This window comes from Homo sapiens, chromosome 7 (assembly GCF_000001405.40).
Source record: "Homo sapiens chromosome 7, GRCh38.p14 Primary Assembly".
Classification (NCBI taxonomy): Eukaryota; Metazoa; Chordata; class Mammalia; order Primates; family Hominidae; genus Homo; species Homo sapiens.
The window spans coordinates 133,624,238-133,647,162 of NC_000007.14; the positions used below are offsets into that span (position 1 = coordinate 133,624,238).

At 36.9% G+C, this 22,925-nt stretch overlaps 1 protein-coding gene across 10 annotated transcripts in view; it reads left to right on the forward strand.

The window, feature by feature from the left end:
- Positions 1 to 22,925, forward strand: part of EXOC4 (exocyst complex component 4) — an 847,874-nt gene that overhangs the window by 371,160 nt on the left and 453,789 nt on the right. For all 10 annotated transcript variants that reach the window (XR_007060126.1, XR_007060125.1, XR_007060123.1 and 7 more), the window contains one exon: positions 5,808 to 5,904. Coding sequence is in view for 2 of the 10 variants with exons in the window: in NM_021807.4 (NP_068579.3) it covers positions 5,808 to 5,904 (97 nt within the window). In the remaining 8 variants the exon portion in view is untranslated. The remainder of the gene's footprint in view (positions 1 to 5,807; positions 5,905 to 22,925) is intronic.

The following is a 22,925-nucleotide window of genomic DNA, read 5'->3' on the forward strand; positions in this document are numbered from 1 at the left end:
GGAGCACTTAGTACAAGATGGTTATAATTTCAACATCTATACATTTAATATTGATTATTTTTAATTGAAAAATAAAGAGTAGGGCTGGGTACTCCCTACTACTTTGGGAGGCCAAGGTGGGAGGATTGCTTGATTTAGGAGTTCAAGACCATCCTGGGCAACATATTGAGACCCTGTTTCTACAAAAAATAAAAGATGAACCAGGTATGGTGGTGTGCACCTCTAGTCTTAGCTGCTCAGGAGCTTGAGGTGGGAGGATCCCTTGAGCCTGGAAGGTTGAGGCTGCAGTGAGCTGTGATCACACCACTGCACTCCAGCCTAGGCAACAGAGCAAGACTGCATCTCTCTCTCTCTTTTTTTTTCTTTTCTTTTTGAGGCAGAGTCTCGCTCTGTCGGCCAGGTTGGAATGCAGTGGCATGATCTCGGCTCACTGCAACCTCTGCCTCCCGGGCTCAAGCAATTCTCCTGCCTCAGCCTCCCGAGTAGCTGGGATTACAGGCATGTACCAACAAGCCTGGCTAATTTTTGTATTTTTAGTACAGACAGGGTTTCACCATGTTGTTCAGGCTGGTCTTGAACTCCTGACCTCAGGTAATCTGCCCACCTCAGCCTCCCAAAGTGCTGGGATTACAGGTGTGAGCCACCGCGCCCAGCCTGACCTCATCTCTTATAAAAAAAAAAAGAGTAGGGGGAATGATGGCTAACACTATCTAATGTTTTTATAAATTAAAAAAAAGTAAAAATTAAGACTAGAGAAAGTTCTTTCTGTCCTGCTAAGTGTTCCCAGCAAATTTCTAAATCTTTCACTTACAGTAATATTTCCACAAAAATAAGGCAAGCATGTTTTACACATTTGTTGTAAAGTTGGTCTCATTAATGATATTGACTAGTATTGTGTTGCCTAAAGTAACAAGAACAACATTTTTTGAATTTGGACTTTCTTTCTCCCTAGTTTGTGAAATCAGTTAGATCGTTCTGTGTTTGGCAATTCTAATGGAAAAGGAGAAGAGCATACTAGGCACAGAACACTGTACTGAATGCCCTTATCTACGTTACTTCCCTTAAACATCACCACAAGTCTTTGAAAAAGTTTATTGCAATCCTTATTTTATAAATGGGAATGCTGACGCTCAGAGAATTTAAATAATTTTATCACACTTATGCTAATAATGAATAGTGGTCTGATGTTTGACACAAGATCATTTTGATTCTTCCCTCTGTTCCATAGTCATTTCAGTGAGAATCCTGTTTCTATTTCTTTCTGAGGCTTTGGTTTCTGTTTGTGTTTTATTAATATGACAATATTTATTACAAACCACATTAAACTCTAGTTGGGTAGAATCAAGGAATAAATAAATGTGGAATCTTATTACTTAAAAGTAAATGAATTCTAAAAGAAGGGACCAGCCTATGAACACTAAGATGTTGTCATTCCAGCAGTTATCAGGTGGCCTTGGTGCCTGTTGCCAGCTGCCTGGGACAGCGTGTCAAATCATCGTCCTTGTAATACTATTGTCAGTTTCCCTTGCATTCCAGCCATCCATCATCATTCGACATTTTCTCTGGTGCCTATCACCTGGCCTCTCACAGCTGCAATTAGACTATAAATATAATGAAGGGAAGGAGTGCTCTGACCTGTCCAGTGCTCTAACCAGGATTGAACAACATGTTCCTTAAGAAGGCTCCTGGCCAGCGACGGTGGCTCACAGCTGTAATCCCAGCACTTTGTGGGGCTGAGGCAGGTGGATCACTTGAGGTCAGGAGTTTGAGACTAGCCTGGCCAACGTGGTGAAACCCTGTCTCTACTAAAAATACAAAAATTAGCTAAGCATGTTGGTGCGTGCCTGTAATCCCAGCTACTCAGGAGGCTGAGACAGGAGAATCGCTTGAACCTGGGAGGCGGAGGTTGCAGTGAACTGAGATCTCACCAGTGTACACCAGCCTAGGGAACAGAGCAAGACTCCATCTCCAAAAAAAAAAGGTTCCTGACAGTAGGTCCCAGGTTATTTGATCATGAGAAGGCTCATGAGGAAAAGTGAGTTTTGTTTCTCACCCAGAATACTGAAATGCTGAAGTAGATTTCCGGGGGTCAGGACTCAGACCTTATGATTTTTGGCCGTGACCTTTACTTTTGTTTCTGACAGCTTGATTTTCAAGAATATTTTCATTGGGTTGGCTCTATTTATTGGTAATGTAGTAAGAAACATTTGACTTCTCATCTTCAAGAGGAAATCGTGACAAATGCAGTATAGATGGCACTTGGTAATGAAACTGGAAGAGTATATGAGGTTCCTGTAGGTGGAATTCTGTTTAGGTGTTGGGGTAGGGAGGAGAGTCTCTTTTTTCATATTTCTGCCCGAACTTTACTTTTTATTTAGCTTAACTGCACTATGTGAATCAGTAGTCATCCTTCTGTAGCTAGCAGGGGTTTAGAACTAATGAAAGTATTATTTAGTATCTAATCTCATACCCTGTCAATGTGCATATATTTTCACAGCCAAATCTTCCTCTCACTGACATTTCTAGTGACTCTGACGTTTTATTTTTGGTATTGTAGCTTATCTTTTGTTGTTTTTGTTCTCTGTAATATGGTCATCAACAAACGTTTATTAAGCACACCTACTCCCTATACAGCTTTGAGGATACAGGGAGATTTGCTTACCTGTATTAGTTTTTGACAGTTGCTTACATTGATTCGGGTTTTGACAGTTTACATTTATTAGGCTTTCACACATACTGTCTCATCTAATTGCTATAACATTTTAGCAAGTTAGGTCTTTTTTCCTTTCATTCAGCAAATGTATTCTTGTATAATCACTTTCCAGGAAGTTACATTCCTGGTGGGAAAAAGTGACATAAGGAAGAAAACACATAGTAACAGAAGTGACTTGTGTTAAGGTTCATAATGGGTTATTTTATACATAGTCACTGTTAATGAAATTGTGGACTTTGAGACAGGGGCATTTGACAGTTTGGGGATAGATGTGGGACCTAAAGAAATGGTACGAGGGGAGAGGGACCTCCAGATGGTAGCGCAGTGTGGCTGAGGCATAGAGGTGCGCATGCATAGAGCGCAACTATACATGAAGGTTTTCATTTGACTGGAGCCAGGTTAGTCAGGTCTGAATTTAATTAATGAGTACCTAATATCGTAGCACTTAAGAATATTTAGAAACCATTGGAAATCATCTAGTCTATCTCGTAAAGGTTATCAAAAGACATGTTCATATTGAGTCGATTATTACATTATTTTTATGTAGACTTATTTATCTGTTCCTGAAGTGTGGAATATATCCTAGTTTCTTCTATACACATCTCTTTCATGAATCAATTCTGACTAGATTTTATAATCTTAAAAGGAAATATGTTGTTAAAGAAGTTATATTTATTTATCATTTTTGTAACCGTACCATATGACCTTTCAAGGAGGATTTTATTAAAAGTGTAGTGTTTGTGTCAGTCTTCATGCTTTCCTTAACTCAGCAAAACTTAGCAGCACCTTCATATCTCTGATGCAAATATTGTACAAGATGGATTTTTTTTAAATGAGAAAAAACAGTCCATGATTTTTAATTAAGGGTTGAGTATGCCATTGTATTTTTTGTTATTCTTAAGAAAACGTATGCTCTGATTAGTTGGTAGAAACAACTGATCCAAATGTCTAGACTCTGATGCCTCTGGGAAGTCCTGATGATCCAGGGTATGGATTTCTGAAGCTTCACATGTTTTTATCAGTCGATTTCCAAGATGCCCAGAGACCATTAAGATAGATAATAAATCAAGGGAGATTTAGCTGTGTTTGGTAACATACAAAGAACTATACTCAGAAAGAAAATGTTTAATTTAGAAGAAGGAAACCAAATGTTGCGAGTGTAGATTGCTAGGGTTTTGAGGAAGCCCACTAAATAGTAGCCATCTTTCCTGCTGGGGTTTTGAAACTATTGAGAAATAATTAAGGTAGATAGTTAGTGAAATGTCACTTTTATATTGATTTATGCTAGATTGAAGGATATAACCCAGTTTGAGAATCAAACAAAGCTTGCTAACTGAACATCACAATTAAACAGATTTACTCACCCATTTAGAAAAGATGTTGGCCCACTTCAAGCCTTCTCTGACAAAGCGGGGCCTTTATAGCTAAACTTACACCAGACACCACTGAACTATCTTCAGGCATTCTAGTTTCTAAAGTGGAATATGGGAGTTGCTAAGCCATGCATGCCCAGCCTTTTCTTTTCAATTTTTATCAGTCAGGCGTTATATCACTTCCCCTGGAGTGGGTAAAAGGTGGAGAGAGGTCAGAGATTACATTAGTTGAACTTCATTATAGTGGCAAGAAACATAAGTGGGGGTAGAGTGTTTTTCCCAACATCCAAAGTGATACATCTTTTCACATTCTAAACTCTCTGAAATTAGGATGTATCTGAAATCAGTGGCTGCCTACTGGAAACCAGTCATGGTGAATTGTCACCCACACAGTGTGTGTGAGCTTGGGTTACTCCTTGCACCATGACCCTTCATTGTTTCCGTTAATGAAGCAATTAAGGACCATTTGAGGAAAGAGTATGAGTCCTGGTCGGAATAGGAAAGCCTTCTGTTTAAACCTTCTGATAGCATCAAGAAAGCATCAACTTTAAACTTTGCAGGATGGATATCAGCAGCGTGGAATAAAATATAGGATGCAGCATGGAGCACTGCTTTATGAAACACACGCTGTTGGTGACACTGGATGACAATGTTTAGAAAACAAGGACATTGAAAACTCTTTAGTCAGAGTGATTCGGAAGAGCTAGACTTCAAATATTATTTAGTGTTAAGAATACCTTAACAAACTTATTTTTCTTATATTTCCTTATTGAATGTGCCTGAGAGGTTTATGGTAACCATTTGTTTATGTAAAAAGCCAAAGGAGCTATTCAATAAGGAAAAGGAAACATTCCAAGAAAGCATTATATAGTTTAAATAGCAGGACTTTTTTTTTTCTTAGTGATACATAAAATAATAGTGTGTCTTATAATCATTGGGGTCTTAGATATGATAAAGTGTGATCAGTTAGGCTTATATGAATCTCTGCTCCAATCTTTACACATGCAGCAACTTTGAATGGCAGGCACTTCATCCTTTCTCTGAAAGCTTTATGTGCCATACTATCCAAGATGGACACTGGTCATTAGAGACCAAAATTTTCACCTTAACTGAATTGTAGCCTTGCACTGTTCCTTTAAATGTCGCATTTATTCTTACTGTGAGTCCATGTTCTTACTCAGAGTAAAAGTGCTGTTTTTTGTTTTGTTTTGTTTGTTTGTTTGTTTGTTTGTTTTGAGACGGAGTCTCGCTCTGTCACCCAGGCTTTAGTGCAGTGGCGCAATCTTGGTTCACTGCAGCCTGCACCTCCCAGGTTCAAGCAATTCTCCTGCCTCAACCTCCCAAGTAGCTGGGACTACAGGCACATGCGACCATGCCTGGCTAATTTTTTTTTTTTTTTAATAGAGATGGGGTTTCACCATATTGACCAGGCTGGTCTCGAACTGCTGGCCTCAAGTGATCCACCCTCCTCAGCCTCCCAAAGTGGTGGGACCACAGCTGTGAGCCACCGTGCCCGGCTAGAGTGAAAATTCTAATCTGTTGTTTATTCAAGTGAGGAAGACCAGATGAAGTCATTCAAAATAATTTCGTACATACCGAAGGTTACTGTTTGCAAAGATGGTCCTAATTATGACAGTATAGGACTCATCTAGATATGCTTGGTTTGTTTATTTATAAAAGTTTCAATGAGCTAAGTCTGTTTTTTTTCTTTCTTCTGAAAGGGGGTCCTGATGACAACTTAATTGAAGGTGGAGGAACAAAATTTGTCTGCAAACCTGGAGCCAGAAACATTACCGTCATATTCCACCCATTACTAAGGTAAGTCAAGTGCTATGATATACTTACTGAAGATCAATATTTTCATTATTTATGCTGGTCTACTGAATGCCAGTTGTTGAGTCAGCACTGAAACAAGTCATAAAAGAAATTTATTCCATTTTTAGGGCCTCACTATTAAAGTTAGTCAGTTTAGCAGATAATCTCAATCCCACTGAGTAGCTACTTATTTTCAGGAGTAAATACTTTTATTTGATTTTCTTTTTTTCACACTCGCTACCTCTGTCCCTCTCCTGCCCTCTTCCCTTCCCTCCCTCCCTCTCTCTGTTTTATCTATCTCAGGAGTTGGAAACTGCTTACTGGAGAAATCTACTCTGCACACGTATTTTTAAATACATTTTTATTGACACACAGACATGCTTATTTGTTTATGTATTGCCCATAGCTGCTTTTGTGCTACAAGTGCAGACTTTTAATTGCAACAGGACTCATATGGCCCACAAAGCCTGAAATACTTATTTTCTGGCCCTTTACAGGAAAAAATTGCAAACCCATAATCTGTCCCTCTCATTTACACCAATGTCTGAGATATCCTTTGAGAATTGGCAGGTCTCTGAAATATGATTTATAAAAAATGAAAGACATATACATCAAACATATGTTTTTATATATTGAATGATAACATGATATGACTAGAGTGAAATCTATTCTAATGCTCAGTTCATTGTGATAACATGATTATAGGAAAGTAAGAATCCATGGTGCCTCCATTAAAGAAAAAATATAAATCCTAAATACTTTTAAAAAGGTACTTTATGAGAGTGGAAAAAAGGGGCAATTGTTGAGTAGATAAAACGTTTCAGTTTATGATAAAAAAGTTCTAGAGATCTGTTACATAACCATGTGCGCATAGTTAACACTACTGTATGGTACATTTAAAAAAGGTTGATGGTAAATGTAATGTTATGTATTTTTTTACCACAATTTTTAAAATGCACCTTTTGGGATCCAGATATCTAATATATCAATTGTGTGTTTTCTCTGTAAAGAACCAGAGTATATATTTGTGGCATTTTCGCATAATAGAGCAGAAACTCCTGGATTTACTAAATGTTAGGTACTTCAGAATATCACCTTACCTTTCTCACATCACTTCTATAATATTTGAGGCATTTAGAATAACAGTTAAACAAATGCTGTTGAATTGACCAGATATAATATTATGTATATTTTCTCCAAGCATAAACAGTTTATTACTACAATTATCCTACCTTCTCATTAACCGAGACTTACTAAATTGATACCATTAGAACTAATTACATTCTAATCTCTTATATAGCTAACCAGTGTTCTAAATCGTAGTGGATTAGTTTCCTCAATTGATTTTAAATACAAAAACATAAATATGTAAATTAAATAACAAAAACTTGACTTTCACACAATAAAAAGTTTTTAAAGAAATTTTATTGCCTTTAAGAAGTCTGTTGTAGCAGAGATTTGTAGCAGGTAAATTCATTTAGGAACCATGGGATTAAGAAAATTAAGACTATTAAGAGGTTAAGAGAATTAAAACTATTTCTCTGTAGGTTTAGTTGATAAGTACTATATGTATATAATAAGTAAATTATAACATACAGAATTATAGATTAAATAACATTGATTATTTTTATTTGACTTTGGTAATTAGTTTAGTTTTCACTGTCTTCTTCAATTACAATTGATTTCTACTTAGGTAATGTTGCTAATTGTTAGAAATTGGAAAATACCTTAATCATGATAGGCATCTTCTAACCTAGATTTAATGCCATAATTTGCTGCTAAGTTGGAACTCTTGTGCTTACATTTATTCCCAAGTAGAAAAGAAACCCTTTAGAAACTATTAACCGTGTTGTCAGTAACCACTTTTCAAGAGATTTTTCCTCTAAGTTTTTTCTTTTTAAATGTGAAGTTAGAATGAAATATATATACACACACATATATGTAAATATATATGTTAGTACTTATTTTACACTTAATAAAATGCATTTTTTTGTAGAAGACTCTGGTGGAACTTAATGTATTACAGTTCTTGACAGCTACTTGTTAAGTCTTTATAAATGCTGCTTTGCTAGATAGTTGTTTCAAGGCTTGGTAATACTCCCAGTGGTTTTACTCACTTACTTGGTTTCTACCTTCATTCAGAATTTTAACTTACTAGTGATTAAAACCGGAAAAAGTTTGTTCCCTGATGTAGTTTATCATTCATTCTTTCTCTGTGTATCTCTTAATGGAAATCCCCAAAATATTATGTGGTCTGAAAGGTAAGTTCATTCTTTGATAAACGGATGACTATGATGGAGTTTAAATTAGCCCTTGGCCCAAATTGCAACCTTGTCAAAAACTCCTGATTGGCTTGTGGAACTTGAAATGACTAAGATCTTTTAGTGGATTTTTACTTTTTTTATTTGAGTTTTCACACTTCAGCATTTCCTGAGTGTTGGATTTATTATTTCTTCTAAAGTTCAGAAGTTTAGTTTTTGTAATGAAACGAACCAGTGTTCATTATCACGCTTGTGTATTTTATTAGTACTATTATAATTCAAAATTTTTCTTTTATATTCAACAAATATTTATTGAATACTTATGATGCATATTTTCCTATCTCCAAGTTAGATGTGGTCTCTTGTTCAGATGTAGTTACTCTTATTTTTATGAGACTATGTAAATAAAATTGTGTAGATATGTTTTCTATTCTTTAGAATGGTCATTGCTTTTATTCTATGCTAGTTTAAGTGAGTATGAGTTAGCATTCTGTTATTTGAAAGATAGTGTAGCCTAATGGGAGAGGCAGTGCAGAAGAATGAAAGCTGGAAAAATGTACAGGATTGCAAATTTCAAATGAAAAACATGACAAATAATCTTGGTTCAGGACTAGGCTCCTTCACTTTAGTTTTACTCAATGCTTGTTACTAGACTCTGATTATGCCATGTCCTGGGGAAAGAAAAAAATAAGACCATATCCTTACCTGCAAGCTCCTCTCTTGGTAGCTGCATGGGTTGCAAAAATGAAGAAGCCTGAAAACACCACATATTGGCGAGGACATGGATCAGTGGGATGTCCTATACCTTGTGGGAGGATATAAATTGGTTCAGCCTCTCTCAAAACTGGTTTGACATGATTGAGAAATCACATTTCCTGTTACTCAGCAGTTCCCTCTCCTAATGCTCTTGAATGTGTTTCTACTTGTTATCAACTGACTCATATTATTTTTCTGTCCCAATTTGCCAAACTCTTTTTCTAATTGATTACAATAATTATTCTATATTTATAACTTAGCTCATATTAAAAAATAAGTTTGGCTGGGCACGGTGGCTCACATCTGTAATCCCAACACCTTGGGAAGCCGAGGTGGGTGGATCACCTGAGGTCAGGAGTTTGAGACCAGCCTGGCCGACATGGTGAAACCCTGTCTCTACTAAAAATACAAAAATTAACCAGGCATGGTGGCATGTGCCTGTAATCCCAGCTATTTGGGAGGCTGAGGCAGGAGAATCACTTGAACCCGGAGGCGGAGGTTGCAGTGAGCTGAGATCGCGCCACTGCACTCAAGCCTGGGCAACAAGAGCGAAACTCCATCTCAAAAATAAAATAAGTTCTAGAGGAACTTATCACAAGTTGACTTTTATCAAAAGTCAGGACCTATTTAAACATTGTATCATTTTTTTTTCTTACGTGGTCTCTTGGCAAACTCAGATTTGTTTTCAGTGGAGGGAGAATCCCTTTCAAGTGCGTAGGTCCTTCACTTTCCTTTGCTACTTTTTCCCTATGTCTGGTGTCACTGGTACTCTGTCTTCCTGAAACTTTGCATGACTGTTCTATGCACTTCATTTATTAAAATCATTCAGTTCATAATTTTCATTCAGCTAGCAGTGCGTTCTTTGCAGCCTAGCGGGTTTCTATATTGACAATTCCAACCACCCTTCTAAGAATACCACAGAGCAGTTTCCCGTTATGCTGGTTTATATATTCTCAGCAGTCGTTTTTACTCTCCTTTCATAAAATTATTATACCGGGTCCTCAATTCTGGTAATCTTGCTAACTTATTTTTATACTGTTCTCATAGCTACTGCAGTTCCATCACTAGGAAATCTCACAGGATGTTAGCGTCAAATATACTGACTTCTAATTTGTTCATTCCCCATTAACTCCGCTTATCCCTTTACTTGTTTATTTAATGCTTTCCTTATTGTTTTTTCTTTACAGTCAGGCATGTCTCTTAGAGAGTAAATTTCTGGAAAGAAATGGGCTTTAGTATTATCTTCCTTGCTTTACTCTTAGCCTACCAAGACATTGTCTGTAATTAAACCTTTAATGAATGTTTTTAATGATAGTTTTTTTTTTGTTTGTTTTTGTTTTTTGTTTTTTAAATAGACGGAGTCTCACTCTGTCGCCCAGGCTGGAGTGCAATGGTGCAATCTCGGCTCACTGCAAACTCTGCCTCCTGGGTTTAAGCAATTCTCGTGCCTCAGCCTCCCAGATAGCTGGGGTTACAGGCATGCGCCACCATGCCCGGCTAATATGTTTTAGTAGAGACAGGGATTCGCCATGTTGGCCAGGCTGGTCTAGAACTCCTAACAGGTGATCCGCCCGCCTCGGCCTCCCAAAATGCTGAGATTACAGGTGTGAGCCACTATGCTCAGCCAATAATGGGTCATCTAATCAGTGTTTCTGCCTGTGGGTCTAAATGAACAAAACCGTATTAAAACAAAGGTTTCTAGCCATGCCCGGATAGATTCTGAAATACTTTCCCTAAAATACAGACTCTGAAAATGATATAACTGATGCCTTTTTTTCTTCCATTGACATGTTTCCTGTCTTTCAGCTCTCTCTAGAAGACTTTTAAGACGAATGAATTCATTCTTATAAATGGAATTTATGTTATGGGCCTTGATTTTGGGGAACAGAAGGAAGATATGTTAATGTTGGAATTTGAGTGACATTATTTCTCTTCTTTTGTGTAGTTCTGACATGGATTTAGGTTTCTTTCCAAAAATAATTATTTTTGAATAATTACATCATGGTAGTTATTAACCATGATCTGCATATAAAGGAACCTTTGGCAATGAAGTACATTTTATTGCAGTATCAACCACAATTTAAATCAGAGTGACACTTTTTGTTACAATTAATATATAATGTAGTCTTTTCAGGAAATTTGAAAGTACTTTGTAGCTGTTATTTGTGGGATTTGTGGGGAGAAGGAGTGAGAATTTATTTTTCTCTTTGTGTTTTCATTCATTTCTTATTCTTTATTCTCTCCAAGTCTAAAAACAGATAATTTATTGTGCCTTAGATTTGTTAGTACAGTTCTTTCATGTAGCAAACACAGGTGAGAACACAAGTTATTTCTTAGAAAATCTAAATGCTTGCACCTAACCAGAAGTATCATTCAGAAAATACTCTAATGCCTTTTTTTCTTCCTGGACCAATAAGGTATATTGGTAGGAGCATTGCTAAATTGAAACAAAGTCATGCCTTTGACAGGTGCACTTAGCACCTCATAACCACAGAGTCCCAGTTAAACAGGTGGAATTGTCAAAGAAGGATGGCAGCACTTAATGCAGCCCATCACTGCTTTAGAAACAGGGTTTAGCTAGGACATGACTCAGGAACAAGTACACCCTGGCCCAAGGAAACCTTCCGAGTCCTCACATGGCCTCTTCCCTGTGCACTGGGACAGAGCTCCCTGGAGTCCCTTCCTCTTACAAGAATATCAGCTCTATGGGATCAGGGCCCTGCCATTGTGACCTCATTTGACCTTAATTACCTCCTTTAGAGAATATATATTAAAATTCACTGTCAGAACAGACTATTAATTAAAGTGGTATTTAATCGTCCTTTTAGCATTGGAGCCCTATTTCAACTGGAAAGGAGTTTTGTGCATTGTATGAGAGAGAGAGAAACTAGACCACTAAAAGTGAAGTGTTGGGGCTGGGTAGAAATGAACACATTCTAAGTTTTGATGTCTGCCAAATCACTGTGAGCCTTTGTTTCCCTTATCTGTAAAGGAAGGAAAAACATTCATTAAGTGTTTGATGACAGTGTCTTGGTAGGTAAAGAGTAAAGCAAGCAAGATAATACTATACCTCATTTCTTTCAGAAATTTACTCTTTAAGAGACAACGCTTAACCAGAAAGAGAAAACAGCAAGGAAAAGCATTAAATAAATGAGTTGGTTGGTTTGGATGTTGCTTTCTACCTGTTAAGTTTTGTGATTCTGTGACTGGGCAGTGCTTTTATAATATTTAGGGAATCTGAAGGCCTGGCATTTTGAAATTTAAAAGTTTATGCAAAAAGTGAGTTTTATAGTATGTTGGAGAATTGCTGCTTATTTGCTTCAACTGGCTTTTAAAAGGCATTTGGCTCTTTAGGGTAATGAACACTTGGCATGCATGAAGTAATATGTTTCTTACAGGAGAACCAAAGAACAGTTGTTTGCAGTCTTGTAGTGACATGGCAGAGGCAGGAGGCTGGGGACATGGGGATGATGATGCCATTCAAATTGCAAAGTGTTACTGATGCTGGTTCTGTTGAACACTGCTGGAATATTGAATATCTGGGCTATGAGCATTTTTCACTAGTAATTATTCACACCTCATTAAGATCAGACATCAGTTAATGTCTTTCTAGGTAGAGCAAAAAGTGAAATATTTATTGGTCAGTGAGTAAAGTCCTGGCATCTAGGTCAGTTAAGAAGATGAACCTCTCTTGGCAACTTGGGCTTTTGGTGATAGACAGTATGGTTGGCTGTGTAACATTCTTAAGACTAGTAACAGTCAGAACAAGTAGTTGTAGTCATATCATCTAATGTATAGAGAATAATTTCTAAAAATTACTCTTAGATGTATATGTTACATGTAGAAATCGCCATATTGCAGCAGTACAGGGTACTGTTTCATGGCCTGTTTGTGAAATAGCTTTGAAATGCCTATGATTAAGAGATGCTTAAAGTTAGGAGGACAGGAAGTAACTAAATCCAAACCTGGAGGAGTGAAAGGCTCCAAAGGTGATTATGCTATTAACTAGTAATTTCTGTTTCCAAAAGTGACATTTCAAAGTAAAAGACAATTGTGATTAACATTTTTATTTTATACTTTTTGTTTTAATAATTATAGTACTTATAATATCACATATTGCCAATATTTCCAGATCAAAGGCATATATAATTTGCTGTTATAATTAAGCACATTTTCCCTAATATTTTTATCTTTGAAAAATGCAGTGACATTGTTCTACCCATGTCAGTTTGATGTGTACATTGATACTTATTTAGCAGAATATTATTCTCAGTGTTCACAGGTATGTGATATTTTTATACAGATGCATGTTTGTTCTTAATGAGCTAAAGCCTATGTAGACATTTTGAAAGATGTTAGTGATTAGACAGCCTAGCAAATAATGTTGTAGATCACATATTATTCATGCATGGGAGGAAATATAGACACCTTGTTGCATTTTTATGAAACACAGCCATTTTTCCCCCTATGCTCAGAATTATGAAAAAATATTGCTAGTTTTCAGTCTGCCTGACCTGTAAGGTCTGTGAAGTGCTGAGTGGTTGGTATACATAGATTTCAAACCCTGTATTTGAGTAACTTCTTTTGAATTAATATTATAAATGTTAAATGCTATAAACCTTCAAACCACCTAACTTTTGGAGATTAAAAAATTTCATTCTAAACTTTTTTTACTTTTATATTTTCAAAATGTATGACATATGGCTAAACACCGATTGCAACTAACTGGGCGGTTTTATACTACTGAATAAAATGGAGAGCCAGTCAAGATATCAACCCATGTATCTATGCACATTTCAGCAGTTTCTAAAGAGGTGAGGCATCCCAATCTAGTTAGCACAAAAGAATAGGCGGTTTCTCATGAGAAACAGTAGGGAAAACGGGAAATGTTAGTGAAAAACAGAGGAGAAACAGAAGATTTTTTATCTATTTACATATATAAAGAGATCACTTTATATAGAAATCACTTAAAGAGATAGTTATTTTGTTATTTGTTGCTTCATAAGTATGGATTATAACTAGTTGGTTGTATGTTTAGAGAGATTCTACTCTACACAATGAGAATTTTCAAATGAATAAGGCAGCAGAAATAGGAAAGCTTTTCTTGGGAGATAATATTTTTCATGGAAATGCTTAACCAGAAGTTGAAGTTATGATGCAGTTAACTGGTTGTTGAATTTCCAGGTCTACATTCTTTAAATCTCTGATTGTAAGCCTTCCTAATATACTGTGCAGCTTCAGAGCTCGGGGTAGATATGTTTCTTCCAATCTTGCTCATTTGAGTTACTTTTTTATACTTCAGCTTAATGCTGATGATTATCATTGGCAGAGTCAAGGAGTATAGTTGACTTCTGTGTCGCTTCAGCATTGACTTTCTTCTTTGGAACACAAAGAGACTCATGGAGGGGTTGTTAGACGAATGCCACCCCTCCCTACCATATAGTTGCTTCTGTCCTCTTTCTTTTTTTCTTCTCTGCTTTTGTTTTTGTATTTTTCTTTTTCCTTTTCATGTCCAGTAACTGGTACGTACGAGTATAACTTAACTCTTCCAGTGACTGTTAAAGGAAAAAGAAAACTAGCTTTCTTCTGTTGTAAAAGCTAATGTGGGACCAACGCTGTATTTCCAAATAAACCTAAAATCAGCATGACTTTGCTGCTGTGATTTTGACCTAGATTTAAGCTGATATTTTAGATGCAGGTTTTCGTCTCTTTATCAATTATTTTTTTTTATTATCGATTAACCTTATTAGCAGCTTATATATAAAAGACAGTAGAAAAGACTATTCAGAACAAAATGCTTGCATAATTTGTATGCTGCTTTTTATGTATTCTGAACATGTGTTCGTCTTTTGGACTGCAGTACCCAAAATGTGCTTATTCAGCATTTGACGAAATATGTTTATGTCCAGCCACAGGGCCATTTACATCTGATTTTGAAATCTGAATTGATAATGTAATTTGGTGTTAAAAATAACATAGGCATACCTAGGGGGAAAATACAGTCTCTCCCTTTAATAACGTATATTCCTTTGAGTGTTGGCTATGCATTGTTTCCTTGTATGATTTGGAAAATTATTTTATCATTCCCCTTGCTCCTCAGAAAACAGAAAGACACACACACCCCCTCTTTCCGATTTGTTCTGTTTCTGTTTTGCATTCTTTGTTACTGGGTCTGCTATATAATACCAAAGACTCTTCTTTGGTCATAAGTGTCATTTGAACATTTGATCATTAATATTGCCTACTGTGTTTTTAAAAAATGTGTCATACTGCCTGTGAAGTATTTTTCATTTCATGGTCATGAAATCTTTTTTATTTTCCTTTTGTAGTTAAACAAAAATAGGCCCCAAAATAAGCAATGCTATTTTCTCAGGACTTTATTATTTATTAACCGAGAAAGGAAACTTCTTTGATTCAGCAAGATAAGTGAGAAGAGCCAGCTAGAAAGGAGAAGAAGGTGGAAGCATCATAAAGGAAGTTTTAGTTTTTAATTACCTTAATTTCATTTTTTGGTAAGAGTAGTGGTTATGAACCTGGGAAGTGCTGGGTCTGACTTTCTTGTTGCACTTGAAATAATTGCTGGAATGTTTGATGTTTTTATGTTGTTTTTATTAGTTGTGAAAGAATAGTAATTTTGACAATTGCTATTTTTAAACTCGATGAGCATTCTTCAAAGTCCATTTCTGTAAAATACCACATTGTAAATACATGAGAAAGTATTCAATAATGTCAAGAAGAAAAAAAAACTAACACTAACAAGTTTCTAGGGTATCACTCTTTAGTGAAGGAATATGGAAGTATGTTACTTAATTGGACTCTGTAAATTCAGAATCTCTAAATTTTAAAAATCTTTTAAAATTTTTATTGAGCTATACATACATACATTCAAATGTATAAATCTGTACACATATTTTTAAATATTTGTATATTTATATGAATTTTTACATGTGTATACATAAGTGTAACCATGACCCAAATCAAGATATTAGACATCGACATAGATCATTTTCAGTACCCTAGAAGACTTGCTTATATTGACAGTCAATCCCTTTCCCTGAGAGATAACCATTATTGTGAATTCTATCCCTACAGATAGATTGGTTTTGCCTATGGTTTAACTTCATATAAATGGAATCATATAGTATGTCCTCTTTGGTGCCTGACATTTGTGTGACATGATGTCTATGTTGGTCATCCATAGACTAACAATGATTTCTTTATGTTAGTCATTGTGTCAGTATACTACTGAAATGAGCAATTATAAAATATAATATTTAATCATTAATTTGGAATAAAAGAACTTTCAGAATCCTGTGATCCTAAAAACTGTTCACAATTTAAACTTCTTCTAAACAGCTTTCCAAGAAATCTTTTGATTTCTTATCTTGTGGGGCCAAGGAGGTTCTCAGGGCAGTAAGAGATCTTGCGGTGGAGCAGTGTCCAGCAGAGCAGTGAGCCAGCATAGCTGGAAGCCACATTCTCTTCATGATGAATGTAGACTGTTTCCTACAGCTTTGGTAGTAAAAGCTAGCGGAGCAAAAATTAGTTGACATGTTTCCTAGACTTTGGGTTTTCTGATCAGTCAGTGAAAAGATAATTGGCAATTAACATGAGTTGCTACTTTTATTAAAGAAAAGGGATTTTTCTTAGAATTAAGATCCATCCTTTTTAAGGAAAGATAATTGGCAACTTAAAATCGACATTCTCTCTCTCTCTCTTTTTTTTTTTAAGAGAGAGGATCTTGCTGTGTTGCCCAGGCTGGAGTGCAGTGGCTGTTCAGAGGTGCAGTAATAGCACACTGCAGAATGCCTGGGCTCAAGCGATCCTCCCACCTTAGCCTCCATACCTGGCGTAAGTCAATGTTCTTAAGCCAACATTAATATGTAGGCTAGTTTTTGGAGACAGTAAATTCAGTCAAGGAGGGAGGAGAGAAGCTTGACATGAGGGATTAGCCAAGAACCAGATGCAGAATTATCACAGGAAGCCATGAGCAGGTATGGACCCAATTGAGAGACCCTAACATAGTTGTAGTGAGTTGGGAATTTACTTTTATTGATTGTAAATCACATCCTTCTGGTCCCTAACAGGCAGTCACTAAAAATGTTTTGAGTAAATGAGCAAATGAATTGAAGGTAAAAGTGATGGGGGCAGTTTTAAATGTATAAGGCAAATTGGATGGATATTGAATATTCTTTCAGTATGTCTACAGTACCTTTCATTGTAATTCTTGAATATTAAAAGATACTTTTTAAATCTCTACACTGTCCTGAGCACACATATATATATAGATACACACACATACATATACGTACATACAAACACACACACTCATTGCCTTCACTTTAGCTAGTTGATTATTAGAATATATTCTGTACAGTCACATTTGTTCCAGCCACTTTGTTTTTGAAGTTTTAGTACATCTGCAGCCTCTCCTGGTGGCTGCCAGTATCGCTGTCACCTGCAATGCTTTGCCAACCACCTGAAGCTCTCTTACTCTGTCCAGTGTGCTGAAGGTGCTGGCATCCATCAATATCTTTTTTGCATATTCTATTTAGTTTTGCTTTTTGCATCTGTGAAAAATAGTAGAACATCTTCTCAATGTAAGAGTGGAAATAAGAATAGTAAAGAAAATTGTACAAAAATAGGCCACTAAATTCATTCTTTAGCATGAAATTAGAAATGCTGAACAGGTTCGATAGAGGTGCATCAATGCTCAGAAATGCATCTAAGTGAATCTACAGCTCTTTCTTACTTTGAAGCTTTTAAGAAAATTGATACGAGGATTTCACTGAAGATTAAAAAGAAACCAACATCCTTCTCTGAACGTTGGAGGTCTGTCTGCTTTATAAGCCTCAACTCATTATATTTTCTTTTTTACATGTTTTTGATTGACATGTTGATTTTAAAAATGCAACTTCAACATTCAGTGGGAGTTGACAGTATTTAAACTGAATTTTGGGGCAAAATTCTTCAATATAGTCATATTTTTCTGTTATTTTTAATTCATTCTTTTTTTTCCAGCAAATACTCGCTGAGTGCTTACTATATACCAGACACTGTCCTTGGCTTTGTGGAAGCTGTGTTCCTAATGAGGGTATTGTGGTAATTTGAGAATAAGAGAAAATCTATGATAAAGGAGTCCCTCATTCCACTAATGCTAAATTTCTTCCAGTTTCCTTTTTTACACGTAGAAGATTATCTGTTGTAGAGGCACAGCTCTTTTCATGCCATTTCTTTTTCAGAGGCAGTTTCACCTCTGATCTTCATCCTATTTCCCTCCATCCCCTTTGGGATCCAGATCAAAAAATCTTGAAGTTCTACTTAGAAGATCCTTGTCCCTCTTACCCCACACGTCTAGTGTTGCTAGTTTCTACCAGTCCTGCTTTATAAATATGTCTCAAATTTATCCATTCCCTGCTTTTGATACTTGTTGCCATTGCTTTAGTCGCTCAGTTTCCTAACTGGTTTCTGCTACTCCAAACCTAAACTTCTTTAATCCATCTTCTACACTACTTCCGGAGTGATCATGTCACTCCCCTCCTTCTTTGTGATTTCTTATCCTCAGCCCTTGAAGTGGAATTCCTTGTTGTAGAATAGAAGGCCTGACTTTCTGACTTTATGCACACTGATCTCAGGCCCCCTTGTACACTTCAAAGCCACGAATCCTTCCTTTTTCCAGGTCTGTCATGCTATTTTCAAAATTTTTTTCTTTCTACCAAAAATGCATCTACCAACACTGACCTTTGACCTCCTTCATTATCTGAAAGACATTTTATCCTTCAAGAATCAGCGCATGTATCCCCTTTTCTTCCAACTTTTTCCTGTGCCTGCTCTTACTCACCCTTACATAATGTAAGTGGATTGCTGTCTGCTTTTAAAAAATTATTGTGATTTTGCCATATTTTTATTATAGCACCTGGCACATTGTCTGGAGATGACTCAAAAGAGAACACAGGTGTTATTTGATGTATTAGTCAGGGTTCTCTAGAACCTCACACAATCACAAGGTCCCACAATAGGCTGAGGGACCCACAATAGCCTGCAGGCTGGGGAGCAAGAAGAGCCAGTCCAAGTTCCAAAACTGAAGAGCTTAGAGTCCAACGTTTGAGGGCAGGAAGTATCTAGCATGGGAGAAGATGTAGGCTGGAAGGCTAGGTCAGTCTCTCTTTTCACATTTTTCTGCCTGCTTTATTCTAGCCGCACTAGCAGCTGATTAGAATGTGCCCACCCAAATTAAGGGTGGGTCTGCCTTTCCCAGCCCACTGACTCAAATGTTAATCTTTGGTAACACCCTCACAGACACACGCACAATCCGTACTTTGTATCTTTCAATCCAGTCAAGTTGACACTCAGTATTAACCATCCCAAGTCCACCCCTTGTCAACTTGAACCCATACACATCTCCTGAGATCATACATAATCTTAAAATAAAGACAATAATAAGGTCAAAATTACGCCTAACATAATACAACTATCCTTTGTACAACCAGAAACACACCAATCCTCAGCCCAAATGCTGCTACATAAAGTTAACAATACTTAAATGCTGATATGAAGTCAATAAATCTTATGTCACATGATGAAGGAAAAAGGAAATAAAATGAAGAAACTTTCTTAATGCAAGTGTATACATACACAAACATGTTTTTAACAAAAGAAGGAGGAAATACTCATGATAATTACAGTCCTCATTTCTGTAACTGGTCACGTGGTCATGGCTGGTATTGATGACTACTTCCTCTACTGATCATTTTCCTTTCCCCAATGTACAGTTACCGTGGTAAAAGGCCAGAGGTCTCCTTGGGGAAGGATGGGAGAAAGATTCACTGCATAAATTGTCAGTAATGCGGTAGGCTTCTTCCTCAAGGGGACCCGGCCTCCCGTTCATTCAAGGAGTTCTGGGTCTGTAAACTGGCTCAAGTCTGAAAATTGATTGAGGGGCTTTGATTCTCTGTTTTTATAATTCAAATTAGTCTTTTGTCCATTTGACCTAGAAGTTTTCTGCTTATATAAATTAAGTAGGTATGCAGTAGGCTTCCTATCAATTTCACTTTTAGGAATGCTGTGATTAATTAGCCAATGCCAGAGCTCTACAGAAGTCAGACTATTCTGATTGCTGCTCTGCCCTTGCTGTCCATTACGGTAGCTATGCCTACTTTGCGTTTGATGGTTGAGTGCCATCACTTGACCCCTGCCATCTTGGGATGCAGTTATTCCCATTGTATTTAAATTTTGTAGTTGAATGACTGTGGTTCCCATGGTTAGATCTGTTATAACTTTATTACTATGATTATGATGTTTACTTGAATATGTAAAGTATATAATAGCATTAATAGCTAACATTTAAGTACAGTTTGCAAAATATGTGAAAATACATTGTCTTTTTTGGTCCTCATACCAACCCTAAGAAATAGTTTGAAGGAGTCATATTATTTCTGTTTTATAGTTGAGGCTTGGACAGTTTCTTGTTTAAAGTGACATGGTATTAGAGACAAAACTTAAAACCCGTGAATCTGATTCTAAATCTTGTGTTTTCTGCACTTTGTTGGATCTGGTGCCTGGGCATGAAGAGAGCCATTCCCAGGTACTCCATGGGATGTACCACAAGGTGATTCAGGGATTCAGGCCACCTCCATTTGGTGGCCCCCCTCACGCCTAGGCCCTCAGAATCTTTTCATTTAGTAAGTGCATGAGAAAGATGGGATTGTAGAACTCTCTTTTAAGCATCATTTCCTTCATTTTTCTGTATTCTTCCTGTGGTGCAAACTATTTAAAGTTTTGTGAGCCACAGTGCTCAGCCATAGCTGTATCCCCTTTGCATCTTTGTATGTGTTTTCTTTCTCTCTACTCGATGCCCTTTTCCTCCTCCTTCACCTGGTGAATTTCTGCTCATCCCTCAGCAACATCTTTTCTGGGGAGCCTTCTGCCACCTTTTTTTTTTTTTTTTTTTCTTTGAGATGGAATCTTGCTCTGTTGCCCAGGCTGGAGTGCAGTGGCATGATCTCGGCTCACTGCAACCTCCGCCTCCCGGGTTCAAGTGATTCTCCTGCCTCAGCCTCCCAAGTAGCTGGGACTACAGGCGTGTGCCACCATGCCTGGCTAATTTTTTGTATTTTTAGTAGAGTTGGGGTTTTCACTGTGTTAGCCAGGATGGTCTCTATCTCCTGACCTCGTGATCAACCTGCCTCGACCTCCCAGAGTGCTAGGATTACAGGCATGAGCCACCACACCTGGCCCTCTATCACCTCTCTTATTCCTCCTCTTCTCTCAGTGGTCCCTTTCCTTTTCCTCTGTGCCCTTGTGGGACCTAGCAGGTTATTTCCTGAGTATTTGTTCTCCCTCATAAAGAAGATGCTAGGGACCATTTTTTGATTGGCTTTGCATAACTAGAACTTGAATGATTTTTAGCACACACTAGATTCTCAGTAAATATTTGGTGATTTTTATTTGGTAATGTGATTTTTTTATGGAAATTAAGGTCATATAGTTCTCTGTCAGAACCAGGATATCAAGAACAGGGTTGTTAGGAATTCACACAGTTCATCGTTCAGGTTTTGTGCTCCTGTGTACCTTTGGACCATTGCCCCCTAAAATAGATTTTCATCCAATGTTTCTTCTTGGAGTTGCTTTTGATATCCAAATAGACAAATTACAAATATGCACTTCCAAATGTATTTTGTGGTAAAGTTATGTAAAGAGGACTAGTTTTTATTTAGGTAATTGTAAAGATGAGGCTGAAGCAGATAAAGAAGGTCTTTTGTTTTGCAATCTTTATTGCTTTATGTTAGCTGGCAGGCTGCCTGTGTTTGATTAAAAATGATAGTCTGTAAACTCCTTAAGTTAGACCATTAATTTCCCATGACAGCACACGAAGCTTCTCCTCTCCTCCTCTCCCCAAACAGCATACATATCAGAGGAGCCTCCTATGTGAGACATTTGTTTAACGTTGCCTGTCAGAAAAGGTGCTACAACAAGTCAGTCAGGTTTGGAGTTTGCAAACATACTTCCACCTTACTGAACATCACAAAGGCTGTCAAAAATTTCATGTCCTTATATTTTTTCTTCTTTCCAGAAGAAAAACCATTACAGATGTAAATGTTAGAGAAATTTTGTCATACACTTTGGAGCTTCTCCAAGAAGTATTTTTCATAGCTTGGAAAAGAGGAAGGAGGCCTCTGCTGACACATTTGCAATCTTTCCAGTAGTTTGTGTGAACTTTATAGTTTACTACCCTACAAGAGGCTAGATATTTTTTCTTCTAAATACTACTTATATCTCATTTTCTTTTTTTTTCTTGCTTTCTCTGAAAATGAAAGTGTAAGCTTTTTCAAATGGCCTTGATATTTCTAAAATTTCTGTTTATTTTTCCTTTTACTTTCTTCTCAGTCTTCTAGATGCTTTCCACCAAACCCACTTCTGGGAATTATCCACATGTGTACTTACTTGGGAGTTTGATGAAATATATGTATGTGTGGTATGCATATTTCTGATATTATTTTATTTGATGGATGTTGAATAACTACTAAGAGAGAAACCAGTTGCTCTTCAAAATATAATTAGCAACACCAGGCCTGGAGAAGTTTACATTTGGTTGTGACAAAGTTAGTAGTATGCCCTCTGCAAAGAAGAGAAGGGGAAGATGGATGCATTTCTAATGCAATCAGGAAACCCCTCTATAATTTAAATATATTAGCATATCCTAAGAAACCCAGGTATTTGAATGTTCCTAAGACAGCTCGAAGCCTTTCCTAAACAAGCATGATTAAATTACTTGGAGCACATTGAAACAGCACACATGGCCCTTAATGGATCAGCATTATCAATATGCATTTTCACGGCCAACTCCAGGAAAGCCATCACTAAAGCCATAAGGAGTCAAATTACCGATGCAGTCCTAATGATTTTGCTTGCATTGCTCACATCCAGTTTGCCACTAAATGTTTGACGGCACGCAAACACTGAATTTCGCAAACATTAGTGTCATTTCCTACTTGTCCCTAGAAATAG